Source organism: Homo sapiens, chromosome 17, assembly GCF_000001405.40.
Source record: "Homo sapiens chromosome 17, GRCh38.p14 Primary Assembly".
Lineage (NCBI taxonomy): Eukaryota > Metazoa > Chordata > Mammalia > Primates > Hominidae > Homo > Homo sapiens.
Window position 1 is genome coordinate 77,520,132 of NC_000017.11, and position 18,932 is coordinate 77,539,063.

Consider the following 18,932-nt stretch of genomic DNA (forward strand, 5'->3'; position numbering starts at 1 on the left):
GGTACAGGATTAAAATTTAATGGTCACTTGTGAATAATAATAATAACTTCATCTAGTAATCATGGTTGTCTACCAAAAACTCATAGCAAGCATTGTACTTAGTGATGAAATGATAAAGACTGTCTCTTTAAAGTCAGAAACAAGACCAGGAAGCACACTCTGGGTGTTCCAAGCCAAAAGGGCTTTTTTTTTTTTTTTGACAGGGTCTCACTCTGTCACCCAGGCTGGAATGCAGTGGTGGGATCTTGGCTCACTGCCGCTTCTGCCTCCTGGATTCAATTGATTCTTGTGCCTCAGCCTCCCAAGTAGCTGGGATTACAGGTGTGCACCACCACACCTCACTAATTGTTGTATTTTTTACTAGAGACACGGTTTCACCATGTTGGCCAGGCTGGTTTTGAACTCCTGGCCTCAAGTGATCCACCTGCCTCGGCCTCCCAAAGTGTTGGGATTACAGGTGCGAGTCACCATGCCTGGCCTCAAAAGGGATTTAATGTAAGAAATTAGGTGCTTTCAGAGTTAATGGAAAGCTAAAACAGAAGACATTAGGGTCCATCACTAGCTTCAGGGTCACGGCACTGTGGCTATGAGAGGGAGCCCCTAAAATGACTGCTAGCCATGCAACAGGAGGCAGCCACCTGCGTAGACAGGGATGGGTGCCTGGTGAAACCCACCTTCAAGCCAAAAACAGCCTGAAGGCTGAAAGACTGGACCGCTGGTGCCGGATGAAACCGAGACGCAGAGTGAGAACTTCTGTTCCTGTTTGCCCGCCCTTCCCCGATTGATTCTTTCTGAATAATGCCTTTCAACCAATCAAATATTGCCTTTTTCAATACTACCTACGGCCTGCCCTCCCAGCCTCTGAGCCCATAACAAGCCCTGGACTGAGCCATATTAGGGGAACTTTCCTGCTTTCGGGTAAGGGGACCACCTCCATGTCCCCACCTTTGGGTAAGGGGACTACCCCCACATCCCCGCCTTCCGGTAAGGGGGCCACCCTCCGTCCCCTCTCTGCGGAAAGCTGTTTCATCACTCGCTAAAACTCCCTGCCTTGCTCACTCTGAGATTGTCAGAGCATCCTCATTCTTTTTGAGCGTGGGACAAGAACTCGGGAACTAGTGCACAAGCCAGACTCGGCCCAGGGTGGAGCATCGTCAGCCGGAGGTCCCTGGCTTCCAAAGTGACCGAGAAGAAAATCCTGACTAGCATCATCACTGCTTCCCACCTCCCGGTCCCAGGATCTGCAGTGGGCAGGCTGGAGATCAAGGAGAGCCGATGATGGAATTCCAGCCTGAATCCAAAGGCCTGAGAACCAGGACAGCCCACAGTGTTAAGTTTGAGTCTGAAAACTGGCAGTCTCAAGACACAGGAGAGCCAATGTCAGTTCAGGTCTGAAGGTGGGACGAAGCTGTTGTCCCCGTGAAGCTGGAGACTAGACAGTGAGAGGGGATCAGGAGCTAGATATGCTGGGGCTCGCTCAGGAACCACCCCCGCTGCAGGAAAGAGTTAGGACTGCTGTGTCCCTGCACCTTCTAAATACTGCATTCAGTGTATCTATGGGTAGACCCTAAATTACAGCTGTGTGAATGGAAAATAAATCTCAGGACCCCCAAATCACCAAGCCAAAGGGGAAAGTCAAGCTGGGAACTGCAGCTTGGCAAACCTGCCTCCCATTCTATTCCTAAAGAAGATAGTTACAAAGGTGAAAAAGCTAGGCCGGGTGCGGTGGCTCACGCCTGTAATCCCAGCACTTTGGGAGGCCGAGGCAGGTGGATCACAAGGTCAGGAGATCGAGACCATCCTGGCTAACACGGTGAAAACCCGTCCCTACTAAAAAATACAAAAAATGAGCCGGGCGTGGTGGCAGGCACCTGTAGTCCCAGCTACTTGGGAGGCTGAGGCAGGAGAATGGCATGAACCCGGGAGGCAGAGCTTGCAGTGAGCCGAGATCCGGCCACTGCACTCCAGCCTGGGCAACAGAGCGAGACTCCACCTCAAAAAAAAAAAAAAAAAAAAAGCTACAGACCTCCCTCACAATTTGCCCACAAGGAAATTCCTTGTGGACAAAGGACAGATAAAACTCAAAGTCATCCCTCTGCTCACCTGAGACCAATGCAGATCTGATGGCTTCCTCTGCCCTACTGTTTCACTGAGCCAGACCAAGGCATGAGTGACTATTACTGTCAATTGTGTATTCAGTGAAAGGCTAATCAGAAACTCAAAAGAATGCAACCATTATCTACCTATGACCTGAAAGGCGCCTCCCCGCTTCGAGCTGTCCCATCTTTCCGGACCAAACCAATGTACCGCTTACATATATATATATACACATATATATATATATATATATATACACATATATATATATATATATATACACACATATATATATATATATACACACATATATATATATATACACATATATATATATACATACATATATATATATATACACATACATATATATATATATACACATATATAAAATTTTTTTTTTTTTTTGAGACAGAGTCTTGCTCTGTCGCCCAGGCTGGAGTGCAGTGGCCCGATCTCAGCTTACTGCAAGCTCCGCCTCCCGTGTTCACGCCATTCTCCTGCCTCAGCCTCCGAGTAGCTGGGACTACAGGCGCCTGCCCCGACGCCCAGCTAATTTTTTTGTATTTTTAGTAGAGACAGGGTTTCACCATGTTAACCAGGATGGTCTCGATCTCCTGACCTCATGATCCGCCTGCCTTGGCCTCCCAAAGTGCTGGGATTACAGGCGTGAGCCACCATGACCGACCCAGCTTACATATATTGATTGATGTCTCATGTCTCCCTAAGATGTATAAAACCAAGCTGTGCCCCAACCACCTTGGGCACATATCGTCAGGACCTCCTGAGGCTGTGTCACAGGCAGGTCCTCAACCTTGGCAAAACAAACTTTCTAAATTAATTGAGACTTATCTCAGATGCTTTTTGGTTTACAGCTGGTATCCTGTAAAATCAAGGTGGTCTGGGAAATGTAGCATTTAGCCTTCTAGCTCCCATGCTACAAGGTGGTGGAACTGGATGCTGAATGCCATAGAGAGTATCTAGCACAGACATATAGAAAAATTCTCTTCTGGTCTTTCAAGATAAAAACAGGATCTATTTTATTTTTGTTTATTTTTAATTTTTTTTTGTTTTTTTCTTTTGAGATGGAGTCTCGCTTTGTCACCCAGGCTAGAGTGCAGTGGCGCGATCTCAGCTCACTGCAAGCTCCACCTCCTGGGTTCAAGCGATTCTTCTGTCTCAGTCTCCCAAGTAGCTGGGACTACAGGCGCCCGCCACTACACCTGGCTAATTTTCGTATTTTTAGTAGAGACGGGGTTTTGCCATGTTGTCCAGGCTGGTCTCGAACTCCTGACCTCAGGTGACCCACCCACCTCAGCCTTCCAAAGTGCTGGGATCACAGGCGAGAGCCACTGCTCCCAGCCAGGATCTACTTTAGCTCCAAACCCATCTTGAATTTATGTCCCCAGCCCAGATGAAGCAGGGGAAATCGCTGGTGAATATTCGCATTAGTCAGGGTTCTCCCCTCTGTCTATATCTCTGCCTCTCCTGTTGGTCCTGTTTATATAAAGAGATCTATTATTAGGAATCGGCTCACGTGATCATGGAGATTGGAAAGTCCCGTGATCTGCAGTGGGCAAGCTGGAGACCAGGAAGAGCTGATGGTGGAGTTCCAGTCTGAATCCAAAGGCCTGAGAACCAGGACAGCCCATGGTATACGTTCTAGTCTGAAAGCTGGCAGTCTCGGGACACAGGAGAGCCAATGTCAGGTCAAGTCTGAAGGCAGGACAAAGCTGTTGTTCCAGCTTGAAGACCATCAGGGAAGAGAAATTCATTCTTGCTTGGAGGAGGGTCAGCCTTTTGTTCTGTGCAGGCCTTCAACTGATGATGAGGACCCCCTCCACACTAGGGAGGACAAACTGCTTTATTCTGTCCACTGATTTAAATGTTAATCTCAGCCTGGCTCGGTGGCTCATGCCAGTAATCCCAGCACTTTGGGAGGCCTAGGTGGGAAGATCACCTGAGGTCAGGAGTTCCAAACCAGCCTCGCCAACATGGTGAAACCGTGTCTCTACTAAAAACACACAGAAAAATTAGCTGGGTGTGGTGCCACACACCTCTAATCCCAGCTACCCAGGAGGCTGAGGCAGGAGGATCACCTGAGCCCAGGAGGTCGAGACTGCAGTGAACCATGATCACACCATTGCACTCCAGCCTGGGTGACAGAGCAAGACTCTGTCATAAATAAATGTTAATCTCACCCAAAACACCCTCACAGAAACACTCTAATGTTTGACCAAATTTCTGGGCACCCCGTGGCCCAATCCGGTTGACACATAAAATTAACGATCACAGCATTTGTGAAATGTCTGACATTTTATGACTGGTGCTTTTGAGATGTTCTATATCTGGCAGACAGAATCCCTAATAAACAACACCTTACAGCTAAGGAGCATGTTTGACTCTGGCGTTCTGACTGATGTTCACATCAAGGAGAGAAAAGAACGCGAACACTTCTCGAAGAGGAGGGGGCATGATGGGAGCCTCCTTCCTCTGCTCCTCCCTCTCACTCCCCTCCCCCAGCCTGGTGACTCTGGCTTCTACCTGCAGCCCCATACCTGTCTCACTGACTGATGGTTGTGGCTTTAGAGCCAAAGTTCCTGAGCCTCTGAGCCTATCCAGCCACATCAAAAGCCACTCCTGCTGCTGGCTTCCAGCTCTAGTTAGTTGCTCACACTCCTTCCCAAACCTCATGTCTTGTGGACTTTTTGCTCCCTGGCCTTCCAGGATCGGTCCTGCCTTCACATGGACCTGATTCTCTGCTGCCTGGACCCACACCTCATGTGTTTAGGGATCTCCAGATGACCCATAGCTCATGTCACTGTACCTGCCAATCATCTTCTCATTTGAACCAGACCCTGCCTGGTGGCACCCAGGAATCTACCCCCTACCCTGGGGACAGGTCTCCAGTCCGGGTGAGAAAGGTGCTATGTATCTAGGGCTCATCCCGCTTCACGCTGAAGGTGACGGGGGGTGGCAGTGTGTCCGGAATTGGTGGGTTCTTGGTCTCACGAACTTAAAGAATGAAGCCACCGACCCTCGCAGTGAGTGTTACAATTCTTAAAGGTGGTGTGTCTGGAGTTTGTTCCTTCTGATGTTTGGACATGTTTGGAGTTTCCTCCTTCTGGTGGGTTCATGGTCTCTCTGGCTTCAGGAGTGAAGGTGCAGACCTTCACCGTGTGTTACAGCTCTTAAGGCGGCGCCTCTGGAGTTGATCCTTCCTCCCGTCAGGAGTTATTCGTTCCATTCCTCCTGGTGGGTTCATGGTCTCGGTGGCATCAGTAGACCTTCACAGTGAGTGTTACAGCTCATAAAGGCAATGCGGACCCAAAGAATGAACATTTATTGTAAAGAGCAAAACAACAAAGCTTCCACAGCTCAGAAGAGAACCCCAGCAAGTTGCCCCTGCTGATTCGGGCAGCCTGCTTTTATTCCCTTATCTGGCCCCACCCACATCCTGCTGATTGGTCCATTTTACAGCAAGCTGATTGGTCCGTTTTACAGAGAACTGATTGGTCTGTTTTGACAGGGTGCTGACTGGCACGTTTACAAACCTTTAGCTAGACACAAAAGTTCTCCAAGTCCCCACTAGATTAGCTACACACAGAGCACTGACTGGTGCATTTACAAACCTTGAGCTAGACACAGGGTACTGATTGGTGTGTTTACAAACCTTGGGCTAGACACAGAATGCTGATTGGTGTACTTACAATCCTATAGCTAGACATAAAAGTTCTCCAAGTCCCCACCCGCCTCAGGAGCCTAGCTGGCTTCACCTAGTGGATTCTGTGCCAGGGCCGCGTCAGGCGCCTGCACTCCTCAACCCTTGGGCGGTCATGGGACTGGGCGCTGCCCAGCAGGGGGCAGCCCCCGTCGAGGAAGCTCGGGCCAAGCGGAAGCCCACCAGGAGGGGGTGGGGGGTGGGGCTCGGGCAGGGCGGGCTGCAGGTCCCAAGCCCTGCCTCATGGGGAGGCAGCTGAGGCCCGGCGAGAATTCCAGCATGGCTCGGGCGGGCCGGCAGTGCTGGGGGACCCGGCGCCCCCGACCCCCCCAGCTGCTGGCCCGGGTGCTAAGACCCTCACTGCCTGGAGCCGCTGGCAATAGCCAGCGGATCAGAGTGTGGGGCCCGCCAAGAAATCGCCCTGGCCCGGGGAGCCCCCTGGGCAGCCCCGGTTCCCGCCCGCGCCTCTCCCTCCACAACTCTCCCTCAACACCTCCCTCTCCACTCCTCCCCGCAAGCAGAGGGAGCCGGCTCCACCCTCGGCCAGCCCAGAGAGGGGCTCCCACAGTGCAGTGGCGGGCTGAAGGGCTCCTCAAGGGCAGCCAGAGTGGGTGCCGAGGCCAAGGAGACACCGAGAGTGAGCGAGGGCTGCCAGCACACTGTCACCTCTCAGCAGCATACAAGGGCCACCTGGGAAGTGGCCACTGAATCTGGGCTCAGGCTATAGGCCCCCTCTCTTGATCTTCAAGTTCAGTCTCCCATTTTTCCTTGTCATTTTTGTTTTGCCAGCTTTCAGTGGCAGCAGCCCCTCCCCCTGGGGCTCAGAGCTGGAGAGGGAGTTTTAAGTGGTTTCTGCAAAATATTTTGGAGGAGAATGATCTGCCTTTAGTAGTCAAGGACTCTTCTTGCAACACTCAGGCTCTGTTTTATGGACAGAAAGAGTCCAGGAGGCTCTCTGAGCCACACAAGGCCCTTTGCAACCTTCCTGGGCTCGGGCTGCGAGCAGCCATTTTGGAACATGTGAAACGGATTTTAAATTCCCTCTTTGCAGTTTGAGAAGATGGCGGCCTGAACCGGAGTCCTTCTTCCCCTCCTCCCTCTCCGCTGCTGCAATGCCCAGGCCCCCCGCAACGTTCCTCGTCTGTAATGGTGCCAGAGGCTTTAAATCTTGCAGAAGCCACATCTGCTGCCTGCAGGTAAACCTCCCTGGCTGAGCCCACTGCGCACGCCTCCACGTTCTGGAGCCAGAAACAATGAGAAGCACAATTCCGGCAGCATCTCTCCTCCCGGTCATTTGCATAGCACAACCTCTCCCTCCACCCCCTCCTGTCTCCCACGTGGATCTTCATGTAATTAATTAATATCGCGTTCATCAGAGCTTAATTCATGTTCTTGTAATATACAAGGATTAAAAAAAAATCCTACCAAGAGAGCAGTAATAGGCTCCGGCTTTTCTGGTCTGGGAGCAAATATAATGAGCCTCCATGAAAATATTGAATCGCTTCCCGCAGTCTCCACACCTCAGAGCACTGGCATGTTTACTGTGGTAAGCCACCCCTGTGTTTAGAAACATCACGGCCTGCTTTCCTACAGGGGTAGCCATGCTGGGGGCCTCTCTGGAGCCTCTCCTAGGAGTGCATTCAGCAGGGCAGAGGCTCGGAGCTCTTCCCGGGGGTACATTCAGCAGTGGCAGAAGCTCAGCAGATGATGGGGTTCTGTGTGGGTGAGAGCTGAGGGTTGGGTTTCCTGCACAATGCCAAGAGTGCCAAGAGTGGCATTGCAAGTTACTCCTTCCCTCCCAGAGCCCATTTATTTTTAAGCCACCCTCTCCCCTCCACTACAGTGTGATGGCTTCTCCATGCTAATCGCCCTATAGAACAAGGAGAAAAGGAAAGGTGGGCCCTTCACGGTATATATTTTGCTCTTTGATTGGAACGAAATGAACTCAGTGTAACGTCCAGGCTGTTGTGGGGGCTGGGTTGTTTCTGGACAGAAAGTCCCATCTGTGTCCAGGGGGCCGCGTCTGAGTTCGGGGCATCCACACTGGCACGCTGTTTTGCTCGGAGCTGGGACATAACACGTGGGCTGTGTGAGCGCTCTTGGGGGCTGGAAACCCAAGGGGCCGATCAAGGGTTCTTGATTCAACCAAACCTCCCCCTTGCCATCCTCCATGCAGAACGCGTCCCTGGGGCCTTCACCCTGTCGTGAACAAAGCACGACTATTTTGTAAAGGGAAGATCAAAGAGCCAGAAGTCGCGGATGAGTGTGTGGCAGGTGGGGACTCAGAGTGACAGTGGCCATGCGGTGTGTCCCGTGGTCGCCCCAGAGGCGGATGGGCCAGGCCGCTGCACATACCCTGGGAGGAGGCAGGTGGGGAGGGAACCCGAGGACCCTGCCTATGTTCACCCCTCTGTTCCTCTCTGGGACCCACTATGGCTGGAAGGGACTTTTTCCTTCTCCCCCCACCCCTCCCCTCCTCACCTTCCCTCCCCCTGCTTTTTAATTTCTTCCCTTTTGCAAGGCTTTTTGTCCAGCTGGGGCTGGGAAGAAGATGCCCCCGACCCCCTCTCGTGGTCGCCAGGGTAGGGGTGGGAGGAATCTGGAAGCCACGTGCGATGCTCGGAGCTGCGTCCTCTGTCCTGGGGCGTGGGTCCGCGAGCGCCGCGCAGCCTCCCGGACCGCCCTGAGCTGCTGCGCCCGGCGCTGCTCCTCCTTCCCCAGCTCCGCGCCTTCCCCTCGCGATCCCCCTCCTGCCTCTTCGGTCCTGGAAGCGTCCCAAGATGGGGTGGGGGCATGGAGGGAGAGAGGGGAGGAGGGAGCTGCCCGGGGGCAGTGCCGCCAGGAAGTGGGACGGGGACTCTGGCGCCCCTCCAGGCTGCTGCGCGCGGGCTGGGGACCGTGCACCGCTTTGCGCGCCAGACGATGCATCTTCTGGAACGGCAGCTGAGGCAATGCGGGGTGTGAAGTGGCGGCGGGCAGAGGGGCTCGCAGGGGCTGGGATCCGCGTGCCCCTCTCTGCCTCGGTGCGGAGCACGATGTGCCCGGGCGGGGGCGAGGACGTCCGGGAGGGGCTGGGCTGCGCACGCTCGCGGGGCCGTCGCAGATGGGCGGTTTGGAGGCGCTGCAGTCCCTGGGAAATGGGAGCCTCCGTCCTGTTCTCTCTGCTGCTTGGCTGGGCTGGGCTGGGCAGGGCAGGAAAGCCAGGGTCCCCACCCCTCCTGGAGCAGAGCACTCCGCGCTGGCTGTTCCGGGGGCCCGGGAGGGCAGAGCTGTCAGAAGGTCTGTCTGGCATCATTAGGGGAGCTGTCTGTCTCTCTATCCCTGGCTGGCGTGGCCCGGCAGGAGGCGAGGCTGATATTTTCAGGAGACCTGGTGATTTGACCTGACACCTGTCAGTCAGGTAAGCGCTGGCCTCCTGCCTGCATCCCCCTGGGGAAGAGCCGGTTCTGCTCCCTGACCGGGAACGGGTCCCTCAGTGCTGAGGATGGCAGTTAATGAGCCCGCCGAGGGGCTGCCCACCGGGTGCACAGGCAGGAGCAGTGGGCATATCCCCTGCTTGCCAGGCCCTGCAGAGGGGCTGCCTTCTCCCCCAATGCCTTCTGCCCCCTTCTAGTGTCTCCAACATTGACCCTGGAAATCACTTTCTTGCTTCTCTTATCAGGATAGTCCTACATGTCTGGAACTTTCTGGGATGTTCTCTGTGCCTTGGAAGTGTTTATTTATTACTTTAAAATCACCTTTAGGGTCTTTATCCTTAAAGATAAAGCCAGTACCTAGAACCAGGTGTCCTTCCCGCAGGGCTTTAGGCCCTACCTGACTTGGGTTCTCAGTCAACCCTTTCCTTCCCTGTGTAACGTGGGTTTTGGCTTTTGCGGAAGTAATCTGTTATGGTCTAAATTGTGTCCTCCCCAAATCCATATATTAAATCCCTAAGCCCCTGGCTGGGCGTGGTGGCGAGCACCTGTAATCTCAGCACTTTGGGAGGCCGAGTTGGGGGCGATCACCTGAGGTCAGAATTTCGAGACCAGCCTGGCCAACATGGTGAAACCCCGTCTCTACTAAAAATACAAAAATCAGCGGGGAGTGGTGGTGGCTGCCTGTAATCCCAGCTACTCCAGAAGCTGAGGCTGGAGAATCACTTGAACCCGGGAAGCAGAGGTTGCGGTGAGCTGAGATCGCGCCATTGCATTCCAACCTGGGGGACAACAGCGACACTCTGTCTCAAAAAAATAGATAAATAAAATAAAAATAAAATAAATCCCGAAGCCCCAGTATCTCAGGATATGATTGTATTTGGAGATACAGCCTTCTATGACCTTCTATAACCTCAGTCCCCAACCTTTTTGGCACCAGGGACTGGTTTCGTGGAAGGCAATTTTTCCACGGACCCGGGTGGGGTGGGGGGTGGTTTCGAGGTGATGCAAGCACGTTACATTGATCGTGCACTTTATTTCTGTTGTTATTACATTGTAATATATAATGAAATAATTATACATTTCATCATAATGTAGAATCAGAGGGACCCTGAGCTTGTTTTCCTGCAACTAGATGGTCCCATCTGGGGGTGATGGGAGACAGTGACAGATCATCAGGCCTTGGATTCTCATAAGAAGCACGCAACCTAGATCCCTCACATGTGCCGTTCACAACAGGTTTCATGCTCTTGTGCACATCCAATGGTTCCTAAAGGGCCACAGACCGGTACTGGTCCTTGGCCCAGGGGTTGAGGACCCCTGTTCTATAAGGTCGGGAGAGAGGCCTCAGAAGAAACCAACCCTGCCGAGACACCTTGATCTCAGACTTCAGCCTCCAGAACTGCGCGGTGATGCGTTCCTGTTGAAGGCACTCTGACCGCAGTGGCTTGCCGTGGCAGCCCTCGACAACAAATACAGGGTCTGTTGAACCAAATGAATCCAAAATGTATGCCCAAAGATAGCCGCCAGGTCTATGAAAACACCTGCTCTGATATGAGGGGACGTGGACCACAGAGGTGAGTGCTGGAATTCAAGTTGGTCTCCTTAGTCATTCTCCTGCCCCACGCCCCCTGCCCCTGTAACAGTTACATTGTCTTAAATCGTACTCGTTTAAAAAGGTATTTACACAACAGATCAACATTTAAGTACATGTTTAAAAGCAATTATGAATGTGCTCACCTGTCAGGGCAGGATGGTTTTGCTCATGTGTTTCCAGTTGGTTGGGTAAATAATCAGCTCGGGTGTTGTTTTGTTTTACACCTACCCCCTACTGTAATTGTGTGTTTACTTTTATGATAACGTCACATCACTCTCATATTTAACTACTAGCAGGGATTAAGTTATTCCAATAAAAGACAGAGAAATAAATTTCAGACCCTGTTTCCTGCCTATCCCCACCCCCATCGTTCAAAAATTGGACAATTTTCCAAGATGATCGGAAGCAGTTTTGAGCATTTGGAAGCCATGGATGCCCTGGCCCGTGGCAGTGTTTTTCAACAGTAACCCACTTGCCGATAAGGTCTCCCTGTGTGGGGTCAAAGGATGTGGCCCCTGCCATCCTTGTGGTCACTAGGGAGGGTACAGGCCTGTGTGCCACACCCCAGCCTAACTCCTCCTGGGGCCTGGGCAGTTTTGATCACTAAGTCCTGACTCTGCCATGGAAGAGGCATCTTCTGGGCGGACACTGATGTTCAGTGGCCTCCAGGGGACTTGGCGGGTCCCCTTGACACACTGGAGGCTCCCTGGCTAGATTCCCCTCCCAGACACCCTCATTCCTGTATCTCCAGGACTGGAGAGGCCTGCTGGCCATCCAGGAGGATGTTTCTGTTGTCGGGCAGATGGTCAGCCCCATGCAGAGGATGGGAAAGCTTCACCTGCCACAGTTGGTAGGTATCTCAACAAGGAGACCGTTTAGTAACTCACTGTGTTCGTGCCAAGATGGCCATGTCGGGCAGCACAGATCCACTGTGGCCAGCAAGCTTACAGACACTGTGTGTTGTCAGAGCAGAGACAGTGTGGAGTTAACATCGTCTTCATCACCACAAACTGCCCTTGCAGGAGCTTGGAGGGGACCCAGGTGCTGGTAGTGACCTTGGCACATTCACAGGGTGACGGCAGAGACAATGGTGGTGACGATAGTTGGGATAGTAACTCAGACTCACAGCTGCGTCCATGTCTTGCAAAATCACGTGGTCTCAGTTGGTCCTCACAGTCCTGGAAATTGTCATATTCTTGAGCTGTAGGGTGGAGGTGGGCAGGAGGCAAGGTCTAAAATTCACTTCTCTCTGCCCGACAACAGAAACATCCTCCTGGATGGCCAGTAGGCCTCTCCAGTCCTGGAGATACAGGAATGAGGGTGTCTGGGAGGGGACTTTAGCTAGGGAGCCTCCAGTGTGTCAAGGGGACCTGCCAAGTCCCCTGGAGGCCACTGAACATCAGTGTCCACCCAGAAGATGTCTCTTCCATGGCACAGTCAGGACTTAATGGGTCCTGAATGGGTCCTCTCTTCCTTTGCTCACAGAAGGTTTTGTGATGATGCCAACAACCAGGACTGCCCTTGCCTTCCTTCAGATTGCCAGAGCAGTCAGGAATCTTCTGCCCTTAGAGTATATCGCGGGGTCCTCCCTCCACATCCTTGCTGATAGAGCTCTGGAGAGGGCCTTTGGGGAGCGTGTGACTATCCCCGGCATAGTCGCCCCCCATCAACACTTATTGTAGGGAAGGAAAGAAGCCAAACGTCTTACTGTCCCATTTTACAGATGAGGAGATGGGCACAGAGAAGTTCAGCAACGTGGCTCAGGTCGAATGCTTGTGATTTTTATTTTTGTTGTTTTTTTGCTTGTGATTTTTATGTCTTACACATTTCCTGGTGCCCTTCTGAAAAAATTCCACGTTGGAAACTTTGGGACATGAAGCCATTTACCAGTCAGGTCATATGTCTAGGGAGACACTATTGCTACAGGTGTCAAGAAGTTTTGCTCCAGAAAAATGTCCAGACCAATTCTGCTTCCCAAGTAGGCCAGGATATCCACAGGACACCTTGAAACAGTGACTCCCTCCTGCATTTTGTTGATTGATTGATTGATTTTTGAGACAGGGTCCTGCTCTGTCACCCAGGCTGGGGTGCAGTGGCTCAATGTCAGTCCACTGCAACCTCCACCTCCCTGGTTTAAGTGATTCTCTGGCCTCAGCCTCCCGAGTAGCTGGGACTACAGGCATGCACCACCACATCCGGCTAATGTTTGTATTTTTAGCAGAGATGGGGTTTCACCATATTGGCCAGGCTGGTCTTGAACTCAAGATGATTCGCCCAACACAGCCTCTCAAAGTGCTGGGATTACAGGTATGAGCTGCTGCACCCAGCCCCGCCTGCATTTTAAATGGCTGCAGCCACACACAACATGCTTTCCTCCTTTGCAAGCTCAGCTGGGGGGGTGGGTAAGGGAGGGGCTCAGGGGCGGTGCTGTTGGTTCTTTTTACCTGGGTTTTCTCACGCAGAGTAATTGTGAGAAGAACAGGGTTTCCTCTCCTGAACTCGGAGGAAACAGAAAAAAATTTCCTACTAGCAAAAGCAGGCAGAAAAGAAATTTTAGAAGTAAAAGAAGTTTTACTTCTTAATTAGACTTTTCAATTTATTTATTTATTTTTATTTATGTTGTGAGATGGAGTCACACTCTGTTGCCCAGGCTGGAGTGCAGTGGCACGATCTTGGCTCACTGAAACTTTCGCCTCCCAGGTTCAAGCAATTCTCCTGCCTCAGCCTCCTGAGTAGCTAGGATTACAGGTGCCTGCCACCATGCCCGGCTAATGTTTGTATTTTTAGTAGAGACGAGGGTTTCACCATGTTGGCCAGGCTGGTCTCAAACTCTTGACCTCAGGTGGTCCACCTGCCTCGGCCTCCCAAAGTGCTGGTATTACCCAGGAGGCTGAGGCAGAAGAATCGCTTGAACCTGGGAGGCGGAGGTTGTGGTGAGTGGAGTGGAGATTGCGCCACTGCACTCCAGGCACTCCAGCCTGGGCAACAAGAGTGAGACTCCATCTCAAAAAAAAAAAAAAAAAAAGACATGAAGCCAGACAATGGGCCCAAAATGCCAGGGATGATCTGAGGTCCTCAAAAAGGGTCCAGGAAATGCTATATATAAAGAGTCAGAGTTGTGTACCAAGAAACATACCCATCCACTGTGTGTATACCCTGCACTTCCTGGCCCTCCATGCTTGGGCATGGACGTGTGATATGGTTTGGCTGTGTCCCCACCCAAATCTCATCTTGAATTCCCATGTGTTATGGGAGGGACCCGGTGGGAGGTAATTGAATCATGGGGGTGGGATTTTCCCATGCTGTTTTCATGATAGTGAATAAGTATCGTGAGATCTGATGGTTTTATAAGGGGGAGTTTCCCTGCACAACCTCTCTCTTTGCCTGAGCCATCCATGTAAGACATGACTTGCTCCTCCTTGCCATCCACCATGACTGTGAGGCCTCCCCAGCCATGTGGAAGTATAAGTCCATCAAACCTCTTTTTCTTCCCAGTCTCCGGTATGTCATTATCAGCAGTGTGAAAATGGACTCACTCCCACCCTGTCTGGATCTGGACAAGAGCCCACCACCCCGTTGGCAGTAGTCAGGCAGCTCTGCTTCTAAGAACCTGCAGCTTTTGGAAGAAAGGCACCCTGTGGTTTCAGAAGCCCAAGAGTCCCTGCAGCTCAGCACCCCCAGCCTGGTGCTTGGCAGATGACTGCCTCCTCACTTAGCAGAGGGAGCAGGTGAGCATGTATGAAGGGCCGCTCTCAGATCCTTTCAAAGAGAAGGGTGTCATGCAGATGCCAACAGGTTGATCATCAGAACCAGAGGGTGCTTTAACATGCAGATTCCCGGGCTCTGCCAAGGTGATTCCCAAGGTGATTCCTGGGTAGGACTGCCAAGGTGAGGCCCGGGAAGCTGTTTCTAAAAGTTCCTCTTGTCTCTGATGCACAACTTGGGTGACAGCCACAGCTGATTGCCAGAAAGTTATGGCGGGAGGGGGAGATACTGACACCAAGCCTTGCCTGGGACCCACCCAAGAGGCGAAGTGCCTTTCTGGCTTGACAGTCTTGGAAGGAGGGGTCGGGACGTCTGGCCTGCATGGGAACCCTGGAGTTTCCATGCTTCTCTCATAGGACAAAGGCATGGAGTTGTTTTTTTTTGTTGTTTTTCTTGTTTTTTTTTTTTTGTTTTTTTGAGATGGAGTCTCACTCTGTCGCCCAGGCTGGAGTGCAGTGGCGGGATCTTGGCTCACTGCAAGCTCTGCCTCCAGGGTTCACGCCATTCTCCTGCCTCAGCCTCCCAAGTAGCTGGGACTACAAGCGTCCACCACCACGCCCAGCTAATTTTTTGTATTTTTAGTAGAGACGAGGTTTCACCAAGTTAGCCAGGATGGTCTCGATCTCCTGATCTCGTGATCCGCCCGCCTTGGCCTCCCAAAGTGCTGGGATTACAGGCATAAGCCACCGCGCCTGGCCAGGCATGGAGTTTTATCAGCAAAGAGTAAACCAAAATGTATTCTCTGAACACAAAACTGGCTGAGAGTGCCAGGCTGAAAGCCGTTGTGCTGGGAGCTGTGGGTGCTGACGTCATCCCCCTCCCTGCCCGATGGCTCCTCTTCCAGGGTCTGAACCAGACAGCCAGGAAAAGTGGCGTTCAGAGCGCTGGGCCTTCAAGGTGCCCTTGGTCTCTTCGGTAGAAAACAAGGAAGCAACGTCCTTGTGTAGGGGTACTGCTCTCCTCCTGGGAGGGGAGGAAATGAGACGCAGCCACGTGTGGTGTGGGGAGTGCAGTCCGGGCAGAGGGTGGTGGCTCCTCAAATACCCACCCTTGGTTTCCTGCATACCTAAGGGGGTGTGTGACTCAGGGGTCCTTCCTGTTGTCTATGGTGTCTTTACATTCACCACCTGAGGGGAAGTTTTAATTTGTAATAAATCTGTATTACGGTGGATGTCCAACTGCCCCAGTGGCTGTAAAAATTAATTCCTTATCCTAAACATTATTACATAGCTTTCGAAATGAATCGACTTGTGGTTGGGTTCTTGGTTTGGGCCATTATTTCCAATTAGTATAATCAGATAGCATCATCCGTAATACTTCCCCTCCTATCCCCAGCCCTCCCTGGGCCCCACACCCTGGTCTTGTCGGGAACTGGATTCGATGAAGTCATCAGAATTGTCAATGGCATACAGTGGGTGGAGACTGCCTGCTGATTCTGATGGCTGAGAAAGAGGTTTTCTTTCCATTCTCGAATAGTCAATTTTGCTCACTGTTGTTGTGGTTTGTTTCTTTCAGAAAACTGTGTATTCTTCAGAACATCATGATAACCTGGCACTCATGGGTCTATGGAGAGAATTCAGGGGGTCTGGGAGCTTGGATGGAATAAATTTGCATCTTTATTTTCAGGAAAGTTTTACTGAAGTTTAGCATTTTCTTTCATTATAAATGGAATCAGTATAACCCAATAGTATGAGCAGTTACTTCTCCGCAACATCAAAGTGGCTGCAGATATCTCAAAATAGTATTTACATTTATCATAACTTAGAAATTTGGGTGGTAATTAAACCAGCAACTATTCTTTGTTTAATGCATTAAGAAAGAAGTATGTATACTATCATATCTCAATTAAAAATATTTTAAGAACTGGATTTTAACTTTATTGGTTTCCTTTGTAACTCTCTGTATTTCATTTTAGGCATTTAAAAATATTATTTTGAGAAGGGCTTCCGCAGATGTCAGAGGTGTCCATGGCAGAGCCATGATTAAGATCCGCTGGTGTAGACTACAGCAGGTGTGTGCGTCTGAGGTTGGTATGGAAGTTGTGTTTGTGTTCAAATCCTAGTCTCCCATCTCATAGCTGCACAAGGTGTCCCCTGATCCATCACTTTATTATTATTATTATTATTTTTTCTTGGGATGGAGTCTTGCTCTGTCACCCAGGCTGGAGTGCAGTGGCACAATCTCAGCTCATTGCAACCTCTGCCTTCTGGGTTCAAGCAATTCTCCCTCAGCCTCCCGAGTAGCTGGGACTACAGGCATGAGCCACCATGCCTGGCTAATTTTTTTTTGTATTTTTAGTAGAGATGGGCTTTCACCATGTTGGCCAGGCTGGTCTCAAACTCCTGACCACAAGTGATCCACCTGCCTCAGCCTCCCAGAGTGCTAGGATTACAGGCATGAGCCACTGTGCCCGGCCTCATCACTTTAAAATAGGAATAATAGCCACCATACAAGGGTATTGGGAACGATTAAAAGTGTTAGTACTACAGGAATAATTCTAGGACCTAACCTCATACAGCTGCAGGAGCACTGAATGAGATAATCCATGAGGTTAGGTCCTAGCATTATTCCTGTTTTACAGATGGGGAAGTTGAGGTTTATTTCAAGTAAGTGCCCAAGGTCACATAGCTAGGAAGTGGTAGAACTAGGATTCGAGCCCCAGCCATTGGACAGCGGATCCCATCCCAGATCCTATATTGCCCTCCAAAAAGTCAAGCACCCCTGGGTCAGTGGAAGTTGCAATCTGGGTCATACAGAGTCTGGAGGCCAGTCTCCAATTTCTAGGCTCTTAGAGCCCTCATTTGACCTTGAGCTCTAACAAAGTGCTCACAAACATGTGCCAGTGACTTGCCACAATGAAGGACAGTTGTGTGGGTCTATGGTGGGGTGATGCGTTGCTTCTTACTGAATGTGAAATAAAGCTTAGGAACACTAGATCTGTGTGCTTCAGGAGTGGTGGGGATTGCCCTGGTTGAGTGACTGGAGCATTAAGTGAGATGGGATCTTTGGTGTCATCCTATGATGATGGTGACAGTGGCAGTGATGATGACGACAATCACTTTCTTCCTCCTCCTCTTCCTCTTCTTCTTCTGCTGCTCCTCCTCCTCCTCCTCCTTCTTCTCCTTCTTTTTTTTTTTGAGAACAAGTCTCTCTCTGTCACCCAGGCCGGAGTGCAGTGGCACAATGTCGGCTCACTGCAACCTCCACCTACCGGGTTCAAGCGATTCTTCCGCCTCAGCCTCCTGAGTAGCTGGGACTACAGGCGTCCGCCACCACGCCCAGCTAATCTTTGTATTTTTAGTAGAGACGGGTTTCACCATGTTGGCCAGGCTGGTCTCGAACTCCTGACCTCAGGTGATCCACCCGCCTCAGCCTTCCAAAGTGCTGGGATTACAGGTGTGAGCCACTGCGCCCGGCCGGCAATCACTTTCATGCAGCATGCCCTTTGGGTGCCTACCGTGTGTCGGGTCCTGATGCTGCCCTTGAGGAGCTGACAGTCGGGGAGAAAGGACCAGGAATGTGCTGTCTTACCCCATCACAAAACAAGAGAGAGAATAATGGGTGTCACAAGAGAGGTGCCAGCAGCAGGTGATGGGAGGTTGTCACAATGATAATGAGCTTTAGGTTCAGTGCAGACTTGGCTGGTGGGGCTGGCAAAACCACAGAGATTCAGAGCAGCTGGGGAGAGGCAGTGTACATTAATCTGAACGAATATTAATGTAAGATCTTAATAAAATTACATTTGTGTCTATTTATCTGGCTGTATGAGTTTCCCTAAATTTGGATGGGCATGTTTCAGATGGTTTGGCTTAAGACAGATGTTTTCCTTTTATATAATTCCTTTGTATCTGAGGTCATACTCTGTGAGATTTTGATCTTCAAAATTGGTCCAGACTTATTTTATGTCTCAGCATATGGACTATCTTGGTGAGGGCTCCACGTGCCTTTGTAAAGAACATGTATTCTGTAATCACGGGGTGTAGTGGACCTTAAATATCAATTAGGTCACAATAGTTGTTAGAATGCTCAATGTCCTTACTGATTTTTTGATTTTTTTTGTTTACTGACTCTGTCAGTTGCTGAAAGAAAGGTATTAAAATCTCCAACTGTAATTTTTGGATTTGTCTATTTCTCCTTTTAATTCTGACAGGTTTTGCTTTATTTATTTTGAAATTGTTATTAGATGCATATACATTTAAGATTGTTAGGATTTCCCAATAAACATATCCTTTCGTCATTATGCAGTCTCCCTCTATCTCTTTGGCAATACTCTTTGTCTTGAGCCTATTACAGTAACATAGCCACACCTGTTTTTTGCACTTATTGTTTGCCTGTCATA

General features: G+C 50.7%; 1 long non-coding RNA gene across 1 annotated transcript, besides 4 other annotated features; it reads left to right on the forward strand.

Moving 5' to 3' along the window:
• The first annotated feature begins 6,869 nt into the window (after positions 1-6,869).
• LOC400622 (uncharacterized) lies at positions 6,870-16,467 on the forward strand. The gene is made up of 3 exons (NR_148967.1): positions 6,870-7,014; positions 14,324-14,556; positions 16,109-16,467. It is a non-coding gene; the product is annotated as an uncharacterized LOC400622 (long non-coding RNA).
• Positions 7,495-7,995: an enhancer, noted in NCBI's record as "H3K4me1 hESC enhancer chr17:75523708-75524208 (GRCh37/hg19 assembly coordinates)". NCBI's record gives its function as "activates a minimal SCP1, AML or CMV promoter by ChIP-STARR-seq in primed H9 embryonic stem cells {active_cell/tissue: H9 hESC(primed)}" and the evidence as "EXISTENCE:reporter gene assay evidence [ECO:0000049][PMID:30033119]".
• Positions 7,996-8,496: an enhancer, noted in NCBI's record as "H3K4me1 hESC enhancer chr17:75524209-75524709 (GRCh37/hg19 assembly coordinates)". NCBI's record gives its function as "activates a minimal SCP1, AML or CMV promoter by ChIP-STARR-seq in primed H9 embryonic stem cells {active_cell/tissue: H9 hESC(primed)}" and the evidence as "EXISTENCE:reporter gene assay evidence [ECO:0000049][PMID:30033119]".
• Positions 14,928-15,429: an enhancer, noted in NCBI's record as "H3K4me1 hESC enhancer chr17:75531141-75531642 (GRCh37/hg19 assembly coordinates)". NCBI's record gives its function as "activates a minimal SCP1, AML or CMV promoter by ChIP-STARR-seq in naive and primed H9 embryonic stem cells {active_cell/tissue: H9 hESC(naive and primed)}" and the evidence as "EXISTENCE:reporter gene assay evidence [ECO:0000049][PMID:30033119]".
• Positions 15,430-15,929: an enhancer, noted in NCBI's record as "H3K4me1 hESC enhancer chr17:75531643-75532142 (GRCh37/hg19 assembly coordinates)". NCBI's record gives its function as "activates a minimal SCP1, AML or CMV promoter by ChIP-STARR-seq in naive and primed H9 embryonic stem cells {active_cell/tissue: H9 hESC(naive and primed)}" and the evidence as "EXISTENCE:reporter gene assay evidence [ECO:0000049][PMID:30033119]".
• Positions 16,468-18,932: the final 2,465 nt, after the last annotated feature.